Source organism: Homo sapiens, chromosome 1 (assembly GCF_000001405.40).
Source record: "Homo sapiens chromosome 1, GRCh38.p14 Primary Assembly".
Classification (NCBI taxonomy): domain Eukaryota; kingdom Metazoa; phylum Chordata; class Mammalia; order Primates; family Hominidae; genus Homo; species Homo sapiens.
Genome location: NC_000001.11, coordinates 16,460,948 through 16,481,426, shown reverse-complemented (window position 1 = coordinate 16,481,426; position 20,479 = coordinate 16,460,948). Strand labels below are relative to the sequence as shown.

The 20,479-nt window shown below is 47.4% G+C and overlaps 1 long non-coding RNA gene and 1 pseudogene across 3 annotated transcripts in view; one reads left to right on the top strand and one right to left on the bottom strand.

Moving 5' to 3' along the window:
* The window catches only part of CROCCP3 (CROCC pseudogene 3), a 25,266-nt pseudogene extending 11,275 nt beyond the window's left edge, over positions 1–13,991 (top strand). Inside the window, exons 11-15 of the transcript NR_023386.1 lie at positions 2,990–3,172; positions 4,353–4,497; positions 4,923–5,028; positions 5,365–5,602; positions 11,300–13,991. The product of NR_023386.1 is annotated as a CROCC pseudogene 3 (transcript). The remainder of the gene's footprint in view (positions 1–2,989; positions 3,173–4,352; positions 4,498–4,922; positions 5,029–5,364; positions 5,603–11,299) is intronic.
* On the bottom strand, positions 12,946–20,479 carry LINC01772 (long intergenic non-protein coding RNA 1772). Of its 2 annotated transcripts, none has more exons than NR_147210.1 (2): positions 18,140–20,479; positions 12,946–13,850 (listed from the first exon to the last, which is right to left on the bottom strand). It is a non-coding gene; the product is annotated as a long intergenic non-protein coding RNA 1772 (long non-coding RNA). The 2 variants fall into 2 exon arrangements; NR_147211.1 differs by having other exon boundaries at positions 18,837–19,620.

Sequence of the window (20,479 nt, the reverse complement as noted above, 5' to 3'; positions counted from 1 at the left end):
CTCAGGATGGTCTCAAACTCCTGGCCTCAAGCGATTCCCCTGCCTCGGCCTCCCAAAATGCTGAGATTACAGGCATAAGCCACCATGCCTAGCCTTGAAGATTGTTTTTTTCTTTTAATTTGAGACAGGGTCTCGTTCTGTCACCCAGGCTGGAGTACAGTGGTGCGATCTCAGTTCACTGCAACCTCCACCTCCTAGGCTTAAGTGATCCTCCCACCTCAGCCTCCTGAGTAGCTGGGACTACAGGCACACACCACCACGCCTGCCTAATTTTTCTGTTTTTTGTAGAGATGGGGTTTTGCCATGTTACCCAGGCTGATCTCTAACTCCTGAGCTCAAATGATCACCCATCTTGGCTTCCCAAAGTACTGGGATTATAGGTGTGAGCCATCACACCCGGCACCTTGAAGATTTTTAAGACAAGAAATTATCCACTTTTTTTTTTTTTCCGCAGTCTTGTTGCCCATGACACGATCTTGGCTTACTGCAACCTCCGCCTCCCAGGTTCAAGCAATTGCCTCAGCCTCCCTGGTAGCTGGGATTACAGATGCCTGCCAGCATGCCTGGCTAATTTTTATATTTTTAGTAGAGATGGGGTTCCACCATGTTGGCTAGGCTGGTGTCGAACTCCTGACCTCAGGTGATTCGCCCACCTCGGCCTCCCAAAGTGCTACATTACAGGCATGAGCCACCGTTCTTTGCACCTTGAAGATTTTTAAGACAAGAAATTATCCACTTAGCTGCCAGGTTGTTTTTGATATTTTGTTGTTTGGTTTTTCTCTTCATAAATGTAACCATCTAATGAAAAGTTTGAAAAATAATAGAAATAAAAAGACCTCGCCTTCTCACAGCCTCATCTGCCCATCCTAACTCATGTAGGGCACTGGTTTTCCTTCCCACTGTGTTGCCTGGCAGTGAGATAGCAAACGTTTCCTTCACACCTACTGTGTGCCAGGCTCTTGGCTGAGTGTTTTATACATACTCTGTGATTTAGTCTTCCTGTCAAACTTATGCAATTCAGAACTCTTTTGTTGTAAGCTTGAGAGGCTCGCTCAGACTCATACAGCATGTGTGGCTGGGGTGGCAGGGTGGGAATTGGAATTCAGGTCCATGGGAGAGTAAACCCAGGCTTTCCATGCCTGGAAAGGAGAAGGTCTTTTTAAGTAGTTGTGTTCACAGCAAACATCCCATTTTGCATTCTGTGAAATGTGGAGATGGGGGTCTCACTATGTTGCCCACGCTGGTCTTGAACTCCTAGCTTCAAACACTCCTCCCACCTCAGCCTCCCAAATTGCTGGGATTACAGGCATAAGCCACTGTGTCTGGCTCTATTAAAATTTAATTAAAAATTTTAAAAAGTGAAAATTCAGGCTGAGTGTGTTTTACTGAACAGCACGTTGTCAACTGGGCACAGTGGCTCACGCCTGTAATCCCAGCACTTTGGGAGACTAAGGCGGGTGGATCACTTGAGGTCAAGAGTTTGAGCCCAGCCTGGCCAACATGGCAAAACCCCATCTGTACTAAAAATTTTAAAAATTGGCCCGGCATAGTGGCTCACGCCTGTAATCCCAGCACTTTGGGAGGCCGAGGCGGGAGGACCACCTGAGTTCAGGAGTTTGAGACCAGCCTGACCAACATGGAGAAACCCTGTCTCTACTAAAAATACAAAATTGGCTGTCCGTGGTGGTGCATGCTTGTAATCCCAGCTACTTGGGAGGCTGAGGCAGGAGAATCGCTTGAACATGGGAGGCAGAGTTTGCGGTGAACCGAGATCACACTATTGCACTCCAGCCTGGGCAACAAGAGTGTCAAAAAAATAAATAAATAAAAGTACAAAATAAAAAAATAAAAATAAAAAAATTAGGGCTGGGTGTGCCCTTTTAGCCCAATTTTAGCCCAAAATTAGTATTTTGGGATACCGAGGCGGGCAGATCACTTGAGGTCAGGAGTTTGAGACCAGCCTGGCCAATATGGTGAAACCCCACTTCTAACTAAAAATGCAAAAATTAGCTGGGCGTGGTGATAGGTGCCTGTAATCCCAGCTACTCAGGAGGCTGAGGCAGGAGAATTGCTTGAACTCTGGAAGTGGAGGTTGCAGCAAGCTGAGATTGTGTCACTGCACTCCAGCCTGGGTGACAAAGTGAGACTCTGTCTAAAAAAAAAAAAAAAAAAAAAAATTGCTGGACGTGGTGGCTCACACCTGTAATCCCAGCACTTTGGGAGGCCGAGGCGGGCAGATCACGAGGTCAGGAGATCAAGACCATCCGGCTAACATGGTGAAAACCCGTCTCTACTAATAATACAAAAAATTAGCCGGGTGTGGTGGCAGGCGCCTATAGTCCCAGCTACTCAGGAGGCTGAGGCAGGAGAATGGCATGAACCTGGGAGGCAGAGCATGCAGTAAGCCGAGATCACGCCTGGGTGACAGAGCAAGACTCCGTCTCAAAAAAAAAAAAAGAAAATCACATCGGGAAAGTTTTTCGCACCTACCGCCAGTGGGGAACGTGGCAGCTCACGGCAAGTCTTTGGGGTCCCAGTTGTTCCCTTCTCCTCCCTCCCCTGCCGTGGCCACCATGTGACTGTGTAGCAGGAAGCCATGGGATCTGCAGACTCAGCTCTATCAGGCTTCCCAGAATTGAGGGGCATGGGTTGTTATAGGGGACATTTCCTGGTCACGTGGCCTAGCAGGGTTGGTGGCACAATTGCCCATGTATCCCAGGAGCCTAACCTGGCCTCTTCTACCTGGTAGGGTGCTTGGAGATAAAGCCAGCACCTCCATCCACTCCAAGTGGATGGGTTGGGGAGAAGGAAAGCCAGGTTCTTCTGCTGGAGGATGTGAGTGAAATGAGTCAGCTACGGGCAGGGTCAGGGAAGGCTTCCTGGAGGCAGGTTCCTTGGAAAACGGGAGATTATAGCTCATGGCTAGAGGAGCAGCCAGCCACCTTCCCTGCAGAGAGCAGCCCCAGCATCCCCTCTGCTTGTCCTGAAGGGAGAAGAGCAACCTGGCCCACAGCCTGCAGGTGGCCCAGCAGCAGGCCAAGGAGCTGCGGCAGGAGCGGAAGAAGCTGCAGGCTGCCCAGGAGGAGCTGCGGCGCCAGCGGTACTGGCTGGGGGAAGAGCAGGAGGACGCAGTGCAGGATGGTGTGCGGGTGCGCCGGGAGCTTGAGCACAGGTGAACAGCATCTCGCCACCCTGCCAGGGCCCTTCAAATGTGCCTCAGGTCCCCTGACAGTGCCCCGGGGGTTAGGGAGCACCCACTGGGTCCTGGGCCTCCTACCATCTGGACCCCTCTGATGTCGGGTTTTCTAACCAGACCCATTGCAGGAAATTGGGGCTCAGGGAGGTGTACTCACTTACCTGGGGTCAGAGAACTAGTTAAAAGGTAGAACTTGGATGATAATAACAAGAATAATTAAAATAACAGTAGTAATATTAACGATAGTATTTTTTAAATTAAGTTATGATCATAATAATATCCTTACTGATTTCACTAAGTGCCAGATACCATTTTAAGCAATTCAGTTCTCTCATTTAACCTATGATAACTGTGACATAGAAGCTGTTATCTTCATTTTATGGACGGTAAACTGAGGCACAGAGAAGCCATGTCACTTGCCCCAGGTCACACAGCTAGTTAGAAGAGCCAGGATTTGAACCCAGACATTCTGCCTTTAGAGTTAACCTCTTCACCACTGCGCTGCTTACCTCTCAGGGACGTGATCGCTGATGATGTTTAGTAGACTGTGGTGGAGCATGTTATTCTTGTTTCTGAAGGTCCTTGGGGAGATGTGTCAGGCACTATTTTAAGCACATGTGAAGTTTGTAGCCTTAAAACAGGCTGGGCACGGTGGCTCACGCCTGTAATCCCAGCACTTTGGGAGGCCGAGGCAGGCGAATCGCCTGAGGTCAGGAGTTCGAGACCAGCCTGGTCAACATGGGGAAACCCTGTCTGTACTAAAACTACAAAAATTAGCCAGGCGTGGTGGTGCATGCCTGTAATCCCAGCTACTCGGGAGACTGAGGCAGGAGAATGGCTTGAACCCAGGAGGCGGAGGTTGCAGTGAGCTGAGATCTCACCACTGTACTCCAGCCTGAGCGACAGAGCGAGACTCTGTCTCAAAGAAAACAAAGAAACTATGTGACAAGGTAGGTGTTACCTCATTTTGCAGATGTGGAAACGGAGGCCCAGGGTCATGGAGCTAAGCAGTAGTGGGCTTGGTTGCCCTGTGGCTCAGGCTGTTTCTCTCCAAACTCCTGCCTCAGGCCTGGTCCACAGCCAAGCATCTCGCTGGCTGTGGGAGATTCGGGGCAGGAAAGTGACATGGGCCACCCACCTGCCCTCTGTCCTGCAGCCATAGACAACTGGAGCAGCTGGAAGGGAAGCGCTCAGTCCTGGCCAAGGAGCTGGTGGAGGTGAGGGAGGCGCTGAGCCGCGCCACACTGCAACGGGACATGCTGCAGGCCGAGAAGGCCGAGGTGGCCGAGGCGCTGACCAAGGTGGGTCCCTGTTGGCTGCACAACCACAAACCTACATCTGACCCCCAGCCCCAAGCCTTCTCACTCTGGCACAAACTGGTCCCAGTGTCAGGCAGACCTCTGAGCCTGGTCACAGACTGACCCCTTCCTTCTGGATACAGGCTGATCTTTGTCACAGACCACAGACCTCTGGACCTCTGGTCCCAGCCATAAGTGGACTGACCTCTCTTTATGGCCGTATCCCTGCTGTTCTGGATGCTCCTGGGGGCAGTGCCTATAGCTCAGGGTCATCCTGAGATTCAGCTCCTGGGGTCTGAGAGTTGTGGCCACAGCGCAGAGGGTCCTTGGCGGGGGGGCCTGCGCTGTCCGCTGCAGCCTGGGCTCTGAGCAGTGCTATCCCTAGACCTTACTCAGGGGATCCTCTGAACTCTGGCCCTGCCCTCCAGGCTGAGGGCAGAGGAGGCCTCCCTGCAGGACTCCCTGTCCAAGCTGAGCGCCCTCAACGAGAGCCTTGCTCAGGACAAGTTGGATCTGAACCGCCTTGTCACCCAGGTACGCTGTGCACCTGCGGGCCCACCTGCCTTGCCCACCCGTCCTCCCCACTCAGTAAGGCACCCCGGGCCCAGCCCTGTACCTGTCTTGGCCCCTGCCTCCCTTTCTGTCTCTGGTTCTCTGTCTGTCTCTGTCTGTCTATCCTCTCTAGGCATCAAAGCACAGAAGCTCCATGGGCCCTCCTCATCTCTCCCTCCCCAGTGTCCCACACACCCAAGGGCCCTGTCCCTCATTGCCTGGGAGCCTCCCCTGGGCTATTGTGGCTGGTGGGTGGGTGGAGGAGGCGTCCTGGTCCTGGGAGGGATGCCCTGCTCACGAGGCCCCACTCCTACCCAGGCCACAGCTGGAGGAAGAAAAGTGCGCCCTGCAGGGCCGGCAGCGGCAGGCGAAGCAGGAGGCCACAGTGGCACGGGAAGAGCAGGAGCGGCTGGAGGCGCTGCGGTTGGAACAGGAGGTGGCGCGGCAGGGCCTGGAGGGCTCCCTATGAGCGGCGGAGCAGGCCCAGGAGGCAGTGGAGCAGCAGCTCCCCACGCTGCATCATGAGTGCAGCCGGCTGCAGGAGCAGCTAGCGCAGGTGGGCCAAGCTGTGTGTGGGGTGGTGTGGAGAGCATGTGGGGCAGGCTGGGCTCCCAGCCCCCTGCATCCAGTCCTGGGTTAAGTCACAGGCACTGGAGCCTGCTTCTTGGTTAAATCCAGCCCCACTTCTGCTAGCTGGGGACCTTGGACAAGCTGCCCAACCTCCCCATACCTCAGTTGCCCCATCTATAGCATGGGGCTAGCTGGGTGCAGTGGCTCACGCCTATAATCCCAGCACTTTGGGAGGCCGAGGCGGGTGGATCACCTGAGGTCGGGAGATCAAGACCATCCTGGCTAACACGGTGAAACCCTATCTCTACAAAAAATTAGCTGGGTGTGGTGGCACGCGCCTGTAGTCCCAGCTACTCAGGAGGCTGAGGCAGGAGAATCGCTTGAACCCAGGAGGCAGAGGTTGCAGTGAGCCGAGATCGTGCCACTGCACTCCAGCCTGGGCAACAGAACGAGACTCTGTCTCAAATAATAATAATAATAATAATAATAATAATAATAATGATACAGATTAATAATAGGTCGAGACTTTTTAGAATTGGAATCTTAGACTTTTGGGAACATCACATCTGGAAGAGACCTTAATGTCTCATTTTCAGGGATCCAGGGACCTTCATGCAAGGTCTATCCTGGAGTGCCTGGGTTTCTGGGAGGGGCCTCTAGAGGATGGGGTAGGGGGTGCAAGAAGCAGGGTGCAGGTCTCCACCTTGAGGCCTGCTGAGCAGCTGCACTTGGGTCTGTTTTATATATTCAGCTTCTCTTCTTAGAGTAATACAAGGGTTCTGTTACTCCCAAAGCTGAGTGAGGGCCCTCTTTTTTGTTGTTGGTTTTTGTTTTGTTTTGTTTTGTTTGAGACAGAGTCTTGCTCTGTTGCCCAGGCTGGAGTGCAGTGGCATGATCTGGGCTCACTGCAACCTCCGCCTCCGGGGTTTAAGCTGTTCGCCTGCCTCAGCGTCCCAAGTAGCAGGGACTACAGGCGTGCACCACCATGCCCGGCTAATTTTTGTATTTTTAGTAGAGACAGGGTTTCACCACCTTGGCCAGGCTGGTCTTGAACTCTTGACCTCAAGTGATCCACCTGCCAAAGTGCTGGGATTATAGGCGTGCACCACCGTGTCCGGCCGGGCCCTGGTTTTTGTACACACGTGCATTGCAGAGCTAGAGAAGGTCATGACTTGCCCAAGCACATATAGCACATCAGGGCAGACCCTGGGCTCGAACCCAGGCTTTCTGCCAGGACTGGGTTAGGCCCAGAGTTGGGGTGCTGCACGATCAACAAGCTGGGGGATGCTGGGAGTTCTGCTGAGTCTCTGGGTGGGGGCCAGCTCTCCCAGCAGCTGAGCTGGCGGGAGCAGAAGCTGGAGGAGGCCCAGGGGGTTGGCCCAGTGGCAGGTGGAGGCGCTGGAGCCAGCAGCCCGCGGGGTATCCGGTTCCACAACTACGCGCCGCGCCCCCGCGCCCGTGTGCGGGATTCACCCAGCTGACACTCTCCCGGTCCCAGAAGGTGCAGCAGCCGGCGGGTTTTGAGAGTCCCAGGTGCCCTGCACTGTGCAGGAGTGTGGACGCTGCCCCTCCAGGGCTGTGACCCCGCCTCAGGGCCTTTTCCCTGGCGCCCGCCATCAGGGCTCTTGGCTTTGACAGGCGATCCACCCTTCGGCTCCTCCCAGGAGCCATAGGACCCTCCCTGCCTGCCCTTCACTCAAGTCGAGGGGCCTGATCAGCAGGCTCTTTCCTCTCAGGCCCTCCACTCAGGGTGTCAACAGAGGTGGATCAGATGAGAAACCTGGATTTCTACACACACCTGGCTACAATGAGATGGCACCACTCCCCTCCCCTGCAGAAGCAGACTCAGAAAAAGGTAGTTAAAACAGAAGGTTTCAATAAAATCGACAGTCTGATAACATAATACCCAAAAGTCCAAGTTTCCATTGAAAATCATTCATCATACCAAGAACCAGGAAAATCTCATACTGAATGAAAATAGGCAGCAAGCACACACTGGCAATAAAATGAGAGAAGCGCTGGGATTGTCTGACAAACATTTTAAAGCAAGCAAGCCTGATGAAAATGATTTAGCGAGTAATTATGAGCACACTTGAAATAAATGGACAAGTAGAAAGTCTTAGCAAATAAATACAAGACTTAAGGGAGAACCAAATGAAGTATTAGAAGTGGAAAAATACAACCACCAAAATAAAAAGTCTGGCACATAGGCTCAACAGCAGAATGGATGGTGCAGAGCAAGGAAATCCATCCACTGCCAATGAAAAAGTAGAAATTACACAATCTTAGCAGGGAAAAAATAGACTCGGGGAGAAAGTGAATAGAACCTCAGGCACCTGTGAAACTACCTCAAAAGGTCTCACTTTCATGTTGTCATCTATGTCTGGAAGGGGAAGAGGAAGAGGACAAGCCTGAAAACATAAAGAAGTAAATGGCTAAAAGCTTCCCAGAGTTGGCAAGAGACATAAACCTATATGCTTAAGAAGCTGTGAGGACCCCAAATAGGATAAAACCCAAAGAGGTCTATGGCAAGACACGTGAAAAAATAAAATGTTGGAAACTAAAGACAAAGAAAATATATTGAAAGCAACAGAGAAAGGTGACACCTTACCTAGAAAGGAAAAACAATTCCGACGATGATGGCTTTCTCATCAGAAACCACGGAGGCAGAAAGAAGTTGTGCAGTGCTTTTCAAGCCGCAGAAGAAAATTGTCAGCCCAGACTCCTCTCTCCAGCAGAAACATCTTTCAGGGATTAAGGAGAAGATCAAAACAGTTTCAGATTAAGAAAAGCTAAGGACATCTCTGACCAGCAGTTCTACCCTAAAAGAAGGGCTAAGGGGAGTTCTCTAGACGGAAAGGAAATGATTAAAGAAGGAACCTTGGGACATCGGAAAGAAAGAAAACAGCAAAATAGGCCTTCCTTCTCCTCTTGAGTTTTCTAAACTATGCTTGACGGTTTCAGAAAAAAATCATAGCACCATTCAATGTGGTTCTAACTCTCCATAAAGAAAATGTTTGAAATGGTTATAAACTGGGAGGGTAAAGAGACCTACAAGGGAGGTAACTCGTCTATCATTCACTCAAATTGGTAAAACAATGACACCAGTATACCGTGTGGTTAAGATATAGATGCACAGATATACGAATGTCTGGAAAAACCAAGAGGGCTATACAAACAGACATACTCAAAAGCACTATGGATAAGGCAAAACACCATTCTCAAAGATGTTCAAGTCATGACAGGAAGGTAAGAAAAAGAAAGCATATCCAGAAAACGAAACCAGGGAGAACAAACAGAAAAGGAAAAATAAAATGGCAGATTTAAGCCCTACCATGTCAATATCATTAAATATCAATGGCCTAAGTATACCAGTTGCAAGACACAGGCTGGCAGAGTAGGTCAATGGACACGAACCAACTACATACTGGCTACAAAGAGACTAACTTCAAATATGATGATACAGGCAAGTTGAAATGAAAAGGGTGGGAAAAGATATATCATGCAAACCTTAGCCAAAGGAAAGCAAGACTGGCTATATTAATGCCAGATATAGTATATTTCAGAACAAATAAACTAATCAGAGACAGAGAGGGAGACTATATAATGTGCAAAGGACCAATCCACCAACTCCTCGCCTGACAAATTCATAAATGTCTACGCAAGAACAACTGAAAGTACTTAACAGAGAACTAGACAAATCCACAAATACAGCTGTATGCTTCAATGTCCCCCTTTCTCAACAATTTATACAACAACCAGATAGAAAATCAGCAAGAATACAGAAGAACCCAACAACACGATCAACCAGCGGGACTTAAATTGGCAATTTTAGAACACCCAACCACACCAGAATACACATTGTTATGGGATGCATTGTGCCCAGCCCCCCCAAATTCATATGTTGAAATCAGAACATTATTAGCCACTAGTGATTTACTAATTAAAACAATGAGAAATTGCTACGTACCTATCAGAATGGCCAACATAAAAGTGTGACCACATCAAGTGCTGTCAAGGATTCAGAGAAAGCTGGATCACTCATACATTGCTGGTGGGGATGTAAAAGATTACAGCCCACTCTGGAGAATATCTGTATAATTTTTACTTTTAAAACTCTATGTGCAACTACCATACCACCTCGGAATTACATTCCCTGCATTTATCACAGAGAAATAGAATCTTATGTTCACACAAAACCCATGTACTTCAAGTTTATAGCAGCCTTGTTTTTAATAGCCAAAACTGGGGAAACAATGTATACACGACTTTTGTGAGATGAATGGTTAAACTGTGGTATATATCCACAGCATCAAATAGTCCTCAGTAATTTTTTTTAAAAAAACAACAAATGATTGATACCCACAATAACCTGGACGAATCTCCACAGAATTATGGTGAGTGGACGAAGGGTAATCCCAAAGGTTACATGTAGAATTCCATTTAAGTAACATTCTTGAAATGAATAAATTATAAGAGTGGGGAATAGATTAGTAGTTGCCAGGGGTTAAGGAGGGAAGGAGGAGCAGCACTGAATAGAAGGGGTCATAACTATAAAAAGGCAACATGATGAATCCCGGTGTTGACGGAAATGTTCTGTACCTTGCTTGTATAAATGTCAATCTCCTGGTACTGTGGCATTTGCAATATTTGCAAATTTTATTTATTTATTCATTCATTCATTTTTCTGAGACGGAGTCTTCCTCTGTCGCCCAGACTGGAGTGCAGTGGCGCGATCTTGGCTCACTGCAACCTCCGTCTCCTGGGTTCGCACCATTCTCCTGCCTCAGCCTCCTGAGTAGCTGGGACTAGAGGTGCCCACCACCATACCCAGCTAATTTTTTATATTTTTAGTAGAGACGGGGTTTCACTGTGTTAGCCAGGATGGTCTCGATCTCCTGACCTCATGATCCACCCACTTCAGCTTCCCAAAGTGCTGGGATTACAGGTGTGAGCCACCACGCCCGGCCACTATTTGCAAATATTACCATTTTGGAAATATTACCAAGATGTTACCATTGGAGGAAACGGAGTAAGGCGTACAAGGGACCTCTCTTTTTCTGAGTTAAGATTGTATGTGAATTATTAAAACGTAAAAATTAACTTTAAGAAAGCTAAGTGTATTTCTCCTTGAGTGATCATGCCTTTGCTTAGAAAACATTAAGGCAACAATAATTTTCCAAAACCCTTTATTTTCTTGAAGATAGTTTTAACAAAAGCTGTGCTTAGGGGTTTTCCTAGAAGTTTAAAACTTCTACTAATCCTTACTGTTCTTCTTTGAGAACCCTCCAGGATTTTATTTATTTATTTTACACCTTTCAAAAGCATAGAGACAAAACCCGGCAACTGGCATATAATACTGTATTAGTCTGAGTTATCCAGAGGACAAGATACACACACACACACACACACACACACACACACACACACGCATGCACGCACGCAGAGAAGCCCAAGTTCTACTCTGAGTAAGCTCTATACCTAGGAGAGTCGAATATAGTTCAAGACCAAGTCCAAGGCTTAAGGCAGAAGACTGATGTCCCAGCTCAAAGACAGTGGAGCAGAAACCTTTCTTAACCCATCATCTTATTCAAGCCGTCCATGGGTTGGATGAGGCCCACCCACACTCGGGAGGGCAATCTGCTTCACTCAGTTTACTGATTCAAATGTCAATCTCTTCCAGAAACACCCTCAAAGACACAGTGAGAAATAATGTCTAACCAAATGTCTGGGCACCCCCGACCCAGGCAAATTGACACAAAAATTAATTTTCACAAATACTATCAATAGAAGTGACTAATAAATGTGGCATCATGTCCTGCCTGTTTATCCCATGACAATTAGTATAGTCGAGCGTAACATTGGCTTCCGTTCCCTTATAGTAGCAACATGTAGGAGTTTCATTTAAAGTGAGGATAATTTTGACCTTACAGAGTTTCTCCCTACCCCTATCTACCATTGCCACTTGTGGATTGTCATTTTGCCATGACTTTCTTTTAAAAAATATCAATAAGCTCTATACTTCAGTAATGTAAGTTTGAATTTCATCCTGGCTGCATAAGTCACTTTCCATTTTGACAAAGTCTAGAAATATTTTTCTCCATCTCCTTGAATATGGGTAATGGATACCTATTGTGGGGCCCACTCTCAATCTCATGGTTTTATTTTAATTTAGTTCTCAATAGATATGCCTCAGCTGCTTAAAAACCATTGAAAATGGCCCATGGCCTTGTCCATCTAACAGAGTCCAGTAAAATCCTGACAATGGAATGGGGAGAGAGAAAGTGAGAACCACCAAACTCAGCACAAAACGACTGAGTTTAAACCTCTGTGCTAAGAGATGATCAGAGTCTATCATGGCTTCTAGTAGCATGAGACCATGTCTCACGAATGACCCTAGGCTCCCATGACAATGCCTACCTAAGAAAGCTCAAGGCTGCCAGGGGAACTTACTTTAGTCTAGCCAATACTTGATGATGGCAGTTTCAGGATCTTTCTTTCTTATAGCACTTACTAAGAAGGGAATCCTTCCTCCATCCCTTTGATATATGTGTGTATCTCCTAGGGACTTCAATGTATCTTTGCCCAGGATCTGAAAGGCAATACTTTTGAGGTGTAGTTCTCAGGAAGGACTGAGCCTCTGTCTTCCAGTCTCTGTGGGAGGTTAGAATCCTAACTTCTAATATTGCCAGCTGGCAGACACAGCTGTCCTGATGAGGCAGACATTTAAAATGACCAATCTTTTGTAATGTTTCACTTGTGCCCTGCCCCCTGCCCTCTCCCCTGCCTCTCTCTCCCATTAGAATGCCATCACCTCTGCACAAATGCGAACAGAACCAGCCCCTTCCTCTACGGTCAGTAGTTACTGAATAAAATTGGTTTTCATCGATTTGACTAATGTCTGATATATCTTTGACAAAATAAGTGTGAATGATTGTTTTTAGAGACACGGCAGCTGCAAAGAGAGGCACAGACATGGCAGGAGAGGGAGGGGTCACCTGACCCTTCTCATTTCATAGGCATCTATTCCTGCCTGGTGTTTATGAGCCTGAGACTTGGCAGGGCTGTCCTGGTATATAACTCCATGGCTCTGCAGCAAGACTCGAATAGGCTGGTGGTGACACTTGGTGTGACCAGTCACCTTCAAAGATGCCATTAAGGGTTCACAAGAAAATGAAGGGAAACAGAAAAACTGATTATGAAAGTTGTTGCCTCTCCTGCTTCTTCATACAGAGTGTGTATGATATTGCTGTGTGATGTTAGACTGCAACTTAGCCCAACAGCTGTTCTAGTAATTGGCAGTTTCTCATCGAGTTAAGCCTACCTGATAAAGAAGCACGCTTACATTTATTGATTACCCCCGTAAAATGAACAATACATCCAACAAGGCTTCTAGCAAAAATGTTCTTATTAACCTCCTTTTTATACTAAGGAAAAACTGGGTACAACACAAATCTTCATCAACAGAAGAATACCAACTGTTATACAGTCATAAAACGATCCCAGAAGTTCACTCCATACCATCAAAACCAGGAACCCACACTGATGCCCCTGATGGCAGAAAATCATGATACAAAAATGAGAGAAACGAGAGAGAGAAAATGTACTAGAGTCATGGTAGTGGGTAAAAGCCAAAGAGCTCAGTTTCTACTCATGATATTCATTAGAAGAACCAAAGGAACATGAGCCAACAGCTGTAAGGGTCCAGGTCTGCACAAGGTGCCTGTTGGGTGCAGGGTTCTGTTGGCTCCAGTGATATATCTCAGGTGGGCTAATTTTTACGGACATAGCCGCTGCAAAAATCTATCAAACAATAATAAAGGGATAGCTACTTGCATGCTAATTTACCATTGTATAGAAGGGAGAACAGGCATCAGATTGTTTTCGTCAAATAAAAGCAAAACCAAGATTTATGAAGAAAAGAGGAAAGAGGAAAAAAAATCGCCTGGGACCTTTGTGATTTTGCTCCCCTTGGATAAGAGACTTGACAGAAAGCTTTCAAAGAGGTCACTGTGGCCTGTCTTCTTGAGACACACGACACTTGTTCACCACGGAAAACAATTACAGATGTTGGAGGACTTTAAAATATCCTAGTTTAGCAGTTCATCCTATGCCACAGAATCTGTGTGTGATGTCCACCATGTCCTTCTGTGGTACACCCCTTCAGTTAAGCCAGGAGGGTGCCTCTCCCCTCAGTGGAATATCATACATCAATGTGTAGAAAGTTTGTTGTGCTGGCAAGTAAATGACAAAAGGGACATTGATAGAATTAGGAAACAAATTGGAATATGATCTGTTACCGTTCCCATGGAAGATAAATTTGCAGAATATACTCAAATTAGAAGCATTAAATAAATGCTGTAATTTAAAATGGCACATCCCATTCTCTACACTACAGAAATATCTGCAGGAGTGACCAAAGATATGTGTACAACTATGGTAGAGATTGCAGCATCAGTTATAATCCTAAAACCATGAAACCCACCTTATTTCAAAAACATCTTGAAAAGGGTTAAATAAATCACGCACAAACTGAGGAAGAAATGCTGTTTTCACAAACAATGGTGAGGCTCACCATGAGGATGACTGATTCCACACTGTTCACATTTGATAGAGCAATCAGTTCACCTCCTGAGTTCAAGCGCTCCTCCTACCTCAGCCTTTCAAAGAGCTGGAACTACAGGCGGGTGTCAACACGTTCGGATAACTTTTGCATTTTTTTGGTAGAGATGGGGTTTCGCCATGTTGGCCAGGCTGGTCTTGAACCCCTGGGCTCAAGCAATCCGCCCACCCCAGCCTCCCAAAGTGCTGGAATCACAGGTGTGAGCCACTATGCCCAGCCAGATTTTATTTTTCTCTGAAAAGATGGTACATTTACATGGTTCAAAATTCAGATAGGGCCAGGCGTGAGCCCTGGAGTTCGAGACCAGCCTGGGCAAAAGAGAGCCCTGTCTCTACTTTAAAAAAAAAAAAAAAAAAAAAAATTCAAATAGTACAGAAAATTATAAAGTTAAAATAGGCATCTCTTATATTCCTGTCTCCCAATCTCACCCTGTAGGCAATCTGTGGGATGCTGTTCCCGTGACTCCTTCCAGGGATATTTTAGATCAAGTCTTCCTCTTGTCGCCCAGGCTGGAGTGCAATGGCATGATCTTGGCTTACTGCAACCTCCACCTCTCAAGTTCAAGTAATTCTCCTGCCTCAGCCTCCCAGATAGCTATGATTACAGGTGCCCACCATCATGCCTGGCTAATTTTTGTATTTTTAGTAGAGATGGGGTTTCACCATGTTGGCCAGACTGGTCTAGAACTCCTGACCTCAGGTCATCTGCCTGCCTCAGCCTCCCAAAGTGCTGGGATTACAGGTGTGACCTCCATACTCGGCCTTTTTATTTATTTATTTTTTGAGATGGAATCTTGCTCTGTCACCCTTGCGGGAGTGCAGTGGCACAATCTCAGCTCACTGCAACCTCAGCCTCCCAAGTTCAAGCGATTCTCCTGCCTCAGCCTCTCTAGTAGCTAGGACTACAGGCGTGTGCCACCACACCCGGCCTCCCTTCCCATTTTTTTAATGCCAAAGAGAACATATTATATATACACTTTGTTCTGTACCTTGCTACCTGTCCTTGATAGTTTGGGGACCATCCCTTATCCCTTATCAATATATAAAGAGCTTCTTTTTCATTGTTTTCCCCAGAGATCTAGTATTCCACCAGATATGCCTAAATTTATATAATCCATCCCTTACTGATGGGCCTTGTAGCAGGTAGACATAGTGGGTGAACTGTGTCTCCCAAAAAAGTATGTTCAAGTCCTAACCCCCGACACCTGTGAATGTGATCTTATTTGGAAATAGGGCATTTGCAGATAATATCCTCCTGGATTTAGGGTGGGGCCTAAATCCAATGATGGGCATCCTAATAAGGAAAGGAGAGGACACACATGGAAACACAGGGAGGAGGCAGAGATTGGCGTGATGCTGCCACACACCAAGGAATGCTCGGGGCCACCAGAAGCCTGAAGTGGCAAGGATTCTGGCCTAGACCCTCTGGAAGGAGCATGGCCCTACTGGCATCTTGATTTCAGATGTCCAGCCTCTAGAACTGGGAGAGAATAAATACATTCAGGTGGTTTAAAGCACCCAGTGTGTGGTCACTTGTTACAGCAGCCCTAGCAAGCTAATACACAGGTAGACTTGTTTTGAGACGAAGTCTTGCTTTGTTGCCAGGCTGGAGTGCAGTGGCACAATCTCGGCTCACTGCAACCTCTGCCTCCTGGGTTCAAGTGATTCTCCTGCCTCAGCCCCCCGAGTAGCTGGGACTACAGGCGCATTCCACCACGCCCAGCTAATTTTTAGAAGAGGCGGGGTTTCACCTTGTTGGCCCGGATGGTCTTCATCTGTTGGCCTCGTGATCGGCCCACCTCAGCCTCTCAGAGTGCTGGGATTACAGGCGTGAGCCACTGCACCCCGGCCAGGTAGACTTCTAAGATGGCTCTCAATGATCCTTGCCTCCTGGTATCCACACCCTCCACTTAGTGCGGACAGGACTTGTGACTTCTACTCTGAAGACCCAGCCAAGGGATGGGATCATTTCTGGAATTAAAACTATGACTGCTATCTTGCCACAATCACGTTTGCTGGCTTCAATGAAGCAACTGCAAAGATGTGAACTATGCAGAGGCCTACGTGGAAAGAAAATGAGAGTGACCTCTGTCCAACAGCCACGAGGAACAGAATCATGCCCAAAACCACGTGAGCGAGCTTGGAAGCAAACGCTTTCCCTGCTGGGCCTTAAGATGACAGTGCGGCCTCGACTGACACCTTGACTGCAGCCTGTGAGAGGCCTGTGACCCAGCTGAGCTGCACCAGATTCCTGACCACAGAAGCGGAGATGACAAATGCAGGTCATTTTGGGCGGGTGTGGTGGCTCATGCCTGTAATCCCAGCACTTTGGGAGGCTGAGGTAGGCGGATCACCTGAGGTCAGGAGTTTGAGACCAGCCTGGCCAACAGGATGAAACCTTGTCTCTACTAAAAATACAAAAATTAGCCAGGCATGGTGGCGGAAGCCTGTAATCCCAGCTACTTGGGAGGCTGAGGCAGGAGAATCGCTTAAACCTGGGAGGTGGAGGTTGCAGTGAGCTAAGATTGCACCATTGCACTCTAGCCTGGGCAACAAGAGTGAAAATCTGTCTCAAAAAAAAATAAAAATACAAATAAATAAAGTACCTACTTACAGGCTTTGTATGGTTGGCTAAAAAAAAAAAAAAAAAAAAAAGAAAAAAAAAAAAAAACAGTATCTGTCTACATTCAAGCTGCGGTGAGGAAAAATTGGTCTTTTCCCTACTCCAGTCCACTCAGTCCACAGAGCATGGTATCTTTCTCACTCCCAGCTCATAGAAATCGACAACTATTAAGCACCTACTGTGTGCCCATGATGCATTTCAGTAGCTTTCAATCACCAATGGAATAAAGCCCCACCCTTCGCCTGTCATTCCTACTTGCCACGGCTTTCGTAAGCCATGTGGAGGGAATGGGACTTTTCATATATTAAGGGGGTCTTATGTGCCAGGCTTTGCAGGGAGCACTGCTCCAAAGAAGTAGCCACCCTGACTAAAAGCATGGATGCTGGAGCCAGACTGCCTGGGTTCAAATCCCAGCTCTGCCACTTACCAACCATGTGACTTTGAACAAATTATATAATTTCTCTGCATTTCTCATTTTCGAAACAGGGATGAGTACTGCTATAAACATTTGTGTCCACCCCCACCTCCAAATTCATACTGAAACCTAACCCCTAGTATGATGGTATTTGGAGGTGAGTTCTTTGGAAGGTAATTATGTCATAAGCGTAGAGCCCTCACAAACAGTATTGCCCTTATAAGGAAGCCCCAGCCAGGTGTGGTGGCTCACGCCTATAATCCCAGCACTTTGGGAGGCTGAGGCAGGTGGATCATGAGGTCAGGAGTTTGAGACCAGCCTGGCCAATAAGGCAAAACACCATCTTGACTAAAAATACAAAAATTAGCTGGGCGTGGTGGCATGTGCCTGTAGTCCCAGCTACTTGGGAGGCTAAGGCAGGAGAATTGCTTGAACCCAACAGGCAGAGGTTATAGTGAGCCAAGATCACACTCCAGCCTGGGCAATAAGAGCAAAACTATCTTTAAAAAAAAAAAAGGCAGTGCCATTCCCATGTGGTGGCTCATGCCTTTAAGCCCAGCACTTTGGGCGGCCAAAGCAGGAGGATCACTTGAGGCCAGGAGTTTGAGATCAGCCTGGTCAATATAGCAAGACTCCATCTCTTAAAAAAAAAAAAAAAAAAAAAAAAAAGTCCCCAGAGTACTCTATTGCCCCTTCTACCATGTGAGGTTACAGCAAAAAGACGGCCTCACCAGACACCGAATCTGCTGGTGCCTTGGACTTCCCAGCCTCCAGAACTGTGAGCAAAAAATTTCTTTTGTTTATAAACTACCCAGGCTATGTTATTCTGTCATAGTCCCAAATAGACTAAAACAAGTACTTACTGGCCAGGTGCGGTGGCTCACACTTGTAATCCCAGCATTTTAGGAGGCCAAGGCAGGCTGATCACTTGAGGTCAGGAATTTGAGACCAGCCTGGCCAACATGATGAAACCCCGTCTCTACTAAAAATCAAAAAAATTAGCCGGAAGTACTGGCACACGTCTGTAATCACAACTACTCGGAGGCTGAGGCAGAAGAACTGCTTGAACGCAGGAGGCAGAGGTTGCAGTGAGCTGAGATCATGCCACTGCATTCCAGCCTGGGCCACAGAGCGAGACTGTCTCAAAACACAAAAAAAACAAGTCCTTACCTCATGGGGTTGTAGAGATGATGCAATGAGTTTTATAAGTGCATAGAATAGTGCCTAGCAGAGAGTTAAGCATTACTTTAGCAATAAACAATAAGCATTACTTAAAGGCAACAGGAAGGCCCAAAGGAGCATCATAAGGGACCTCCCAAGGCCCTACAGCTATTAAGTCTATCCAGATTCTCTCTTTTCCACACTGATTCCCACCTCAAACACACTTTGCTAACCTTTGTGTTGGTTATCTATTGCTGCATAACCTTACCAGAAACTTAGCGACTTAACACAATACATTTACCATCTGTTCCTATGGGACAGTCTGGGCACAGCTTAGCTGGTCCTCTGCAAGGCTGCAGTCAGTGTTGGTCAGGCCTGGGGTCTCACCTGAAGGCTTACCTGGGAGTGATCAGCCTCCAAGCTTGTGTGGTTGCTGGCAGCATTTGCTTTCTTGCAGACTGCTGGACTGAGCTTCAGTTTCTTGTTGGCTGTCAGAGGCTACCTCAGTTCCTAGCCACCTGACCCTCTCCCAAGGGCAGCTCACACAACATGACAGCTTCCTTCTTCAAAGCCAGCAAGAGAATTTCTCAGCAAGGCAGATGTTGCAGTCTTACATAAGGCAACCATGAAAATAACATCTTGTCACCTTTGTGGCACTCTACTGGTTAGCAGTCACAGGTCTAGGCCATCTCAAGGGGCAGGGAGTACATAAGGCTGTGAACAGCAGGTGGGGATCACAGTGACCACCTGGGAGTCTATCTGCCACACCTCCCAGTGCATCCAAATTCTGTTGTGCAGAGGGCAAGTGAGGTCTAGCATACCCCCCAAGAAAGCAGCCATCTTCTACCATCCACCCACCAGTTTGTAAACTCCAGTCAGGGGTGTAATTGAAGTGATGCCTGGTTTGGGATTGAGTTTTCCTGGAGATTCTGGTCCTGTAATGAGTTTTTTCCAGCTGGGATTCCAGTTAGTGATGGACAGCATCAAGCTGTCCCTTGCTCCTGGCCCCAGACCCCACAAGGTGCTTTTCAGGCTAGATTCCTGAGGGCTGTGTCATCAGCTGTGCCACCTCCTCCTCCCTACCATGATGAACTGTTCTGGGTACTTACCTGACTCCAGAGAAAGGTCATTAAGGTCAAACAATGCAATGTGCATCTGCTAGTGCCTCATCCGAGTGACGCTCAGGTGAAGGAACAGCCTGTGGCCACACGTCTAACCAGGGGATAGCCTAGATCCTAAGGCCAGGTCTGTCTCCACAATCCAAGTGCTGATCTTCAATGGTACATACTTTTTTTTTTTTTCCTTTTGAGACAGTCTTGCTCTGTTGCCCAGGCTAGAGTACAGTGGCATGATCTCAGCTCACTGCAACCTCCACTTCCTGGAGGCAATTCTCATGCCTCAGCTTCTCAAGTAGCTGGGATTACAGGCGTGCGCCACCATGCCTGGCTAATTGTTGTATTTTTAGTAGACGGGGTTTCACCATGTTCGCCAGGCTGGTCTCGAACTCCTAACCTCAAGTAAGCCACCCACTTCGGCCTCCCAAAGTGCTGGGATTGTGGGCATGAGCCACCACACCCAGCCATGGTACACACTTCTAATAAAGCTTCCTCTACATCTAAGCTTTCTGATTTCCACCCTCCAAGTACTTAAAACTGACTCGATGTGAAGTAATGCTATGTGAAATCGACATAAAAAAGTTACTGCTCCCGAAGATCCTTTAATGCAATCTCCTTACCCTTAATTCAATGGGCAAGAGAATCTTCAATTTTCATTTTCTTTCTCCTCTCTACAGTTTCTTAATCAGAGTGGCTATTTCCATAACAATAAAAACTGCTTCTTACAGAATCCTCAGGCAAAAGAAGTGTTGTGGCTTTTTTTCATTTTTAATTCTTTTAGAGAATTCTCTAGGGTCTCACTGCTGCCTAGACTGGAGTGCGAGGCCGTGATCATAGCTCACTGCAGCCTCAAACTCCTGGGCTCAAGCAATTCTCCCACCTCAGCCTCGCAAGTAGTTAGGATTCCAAGCATGCACCACCACCACA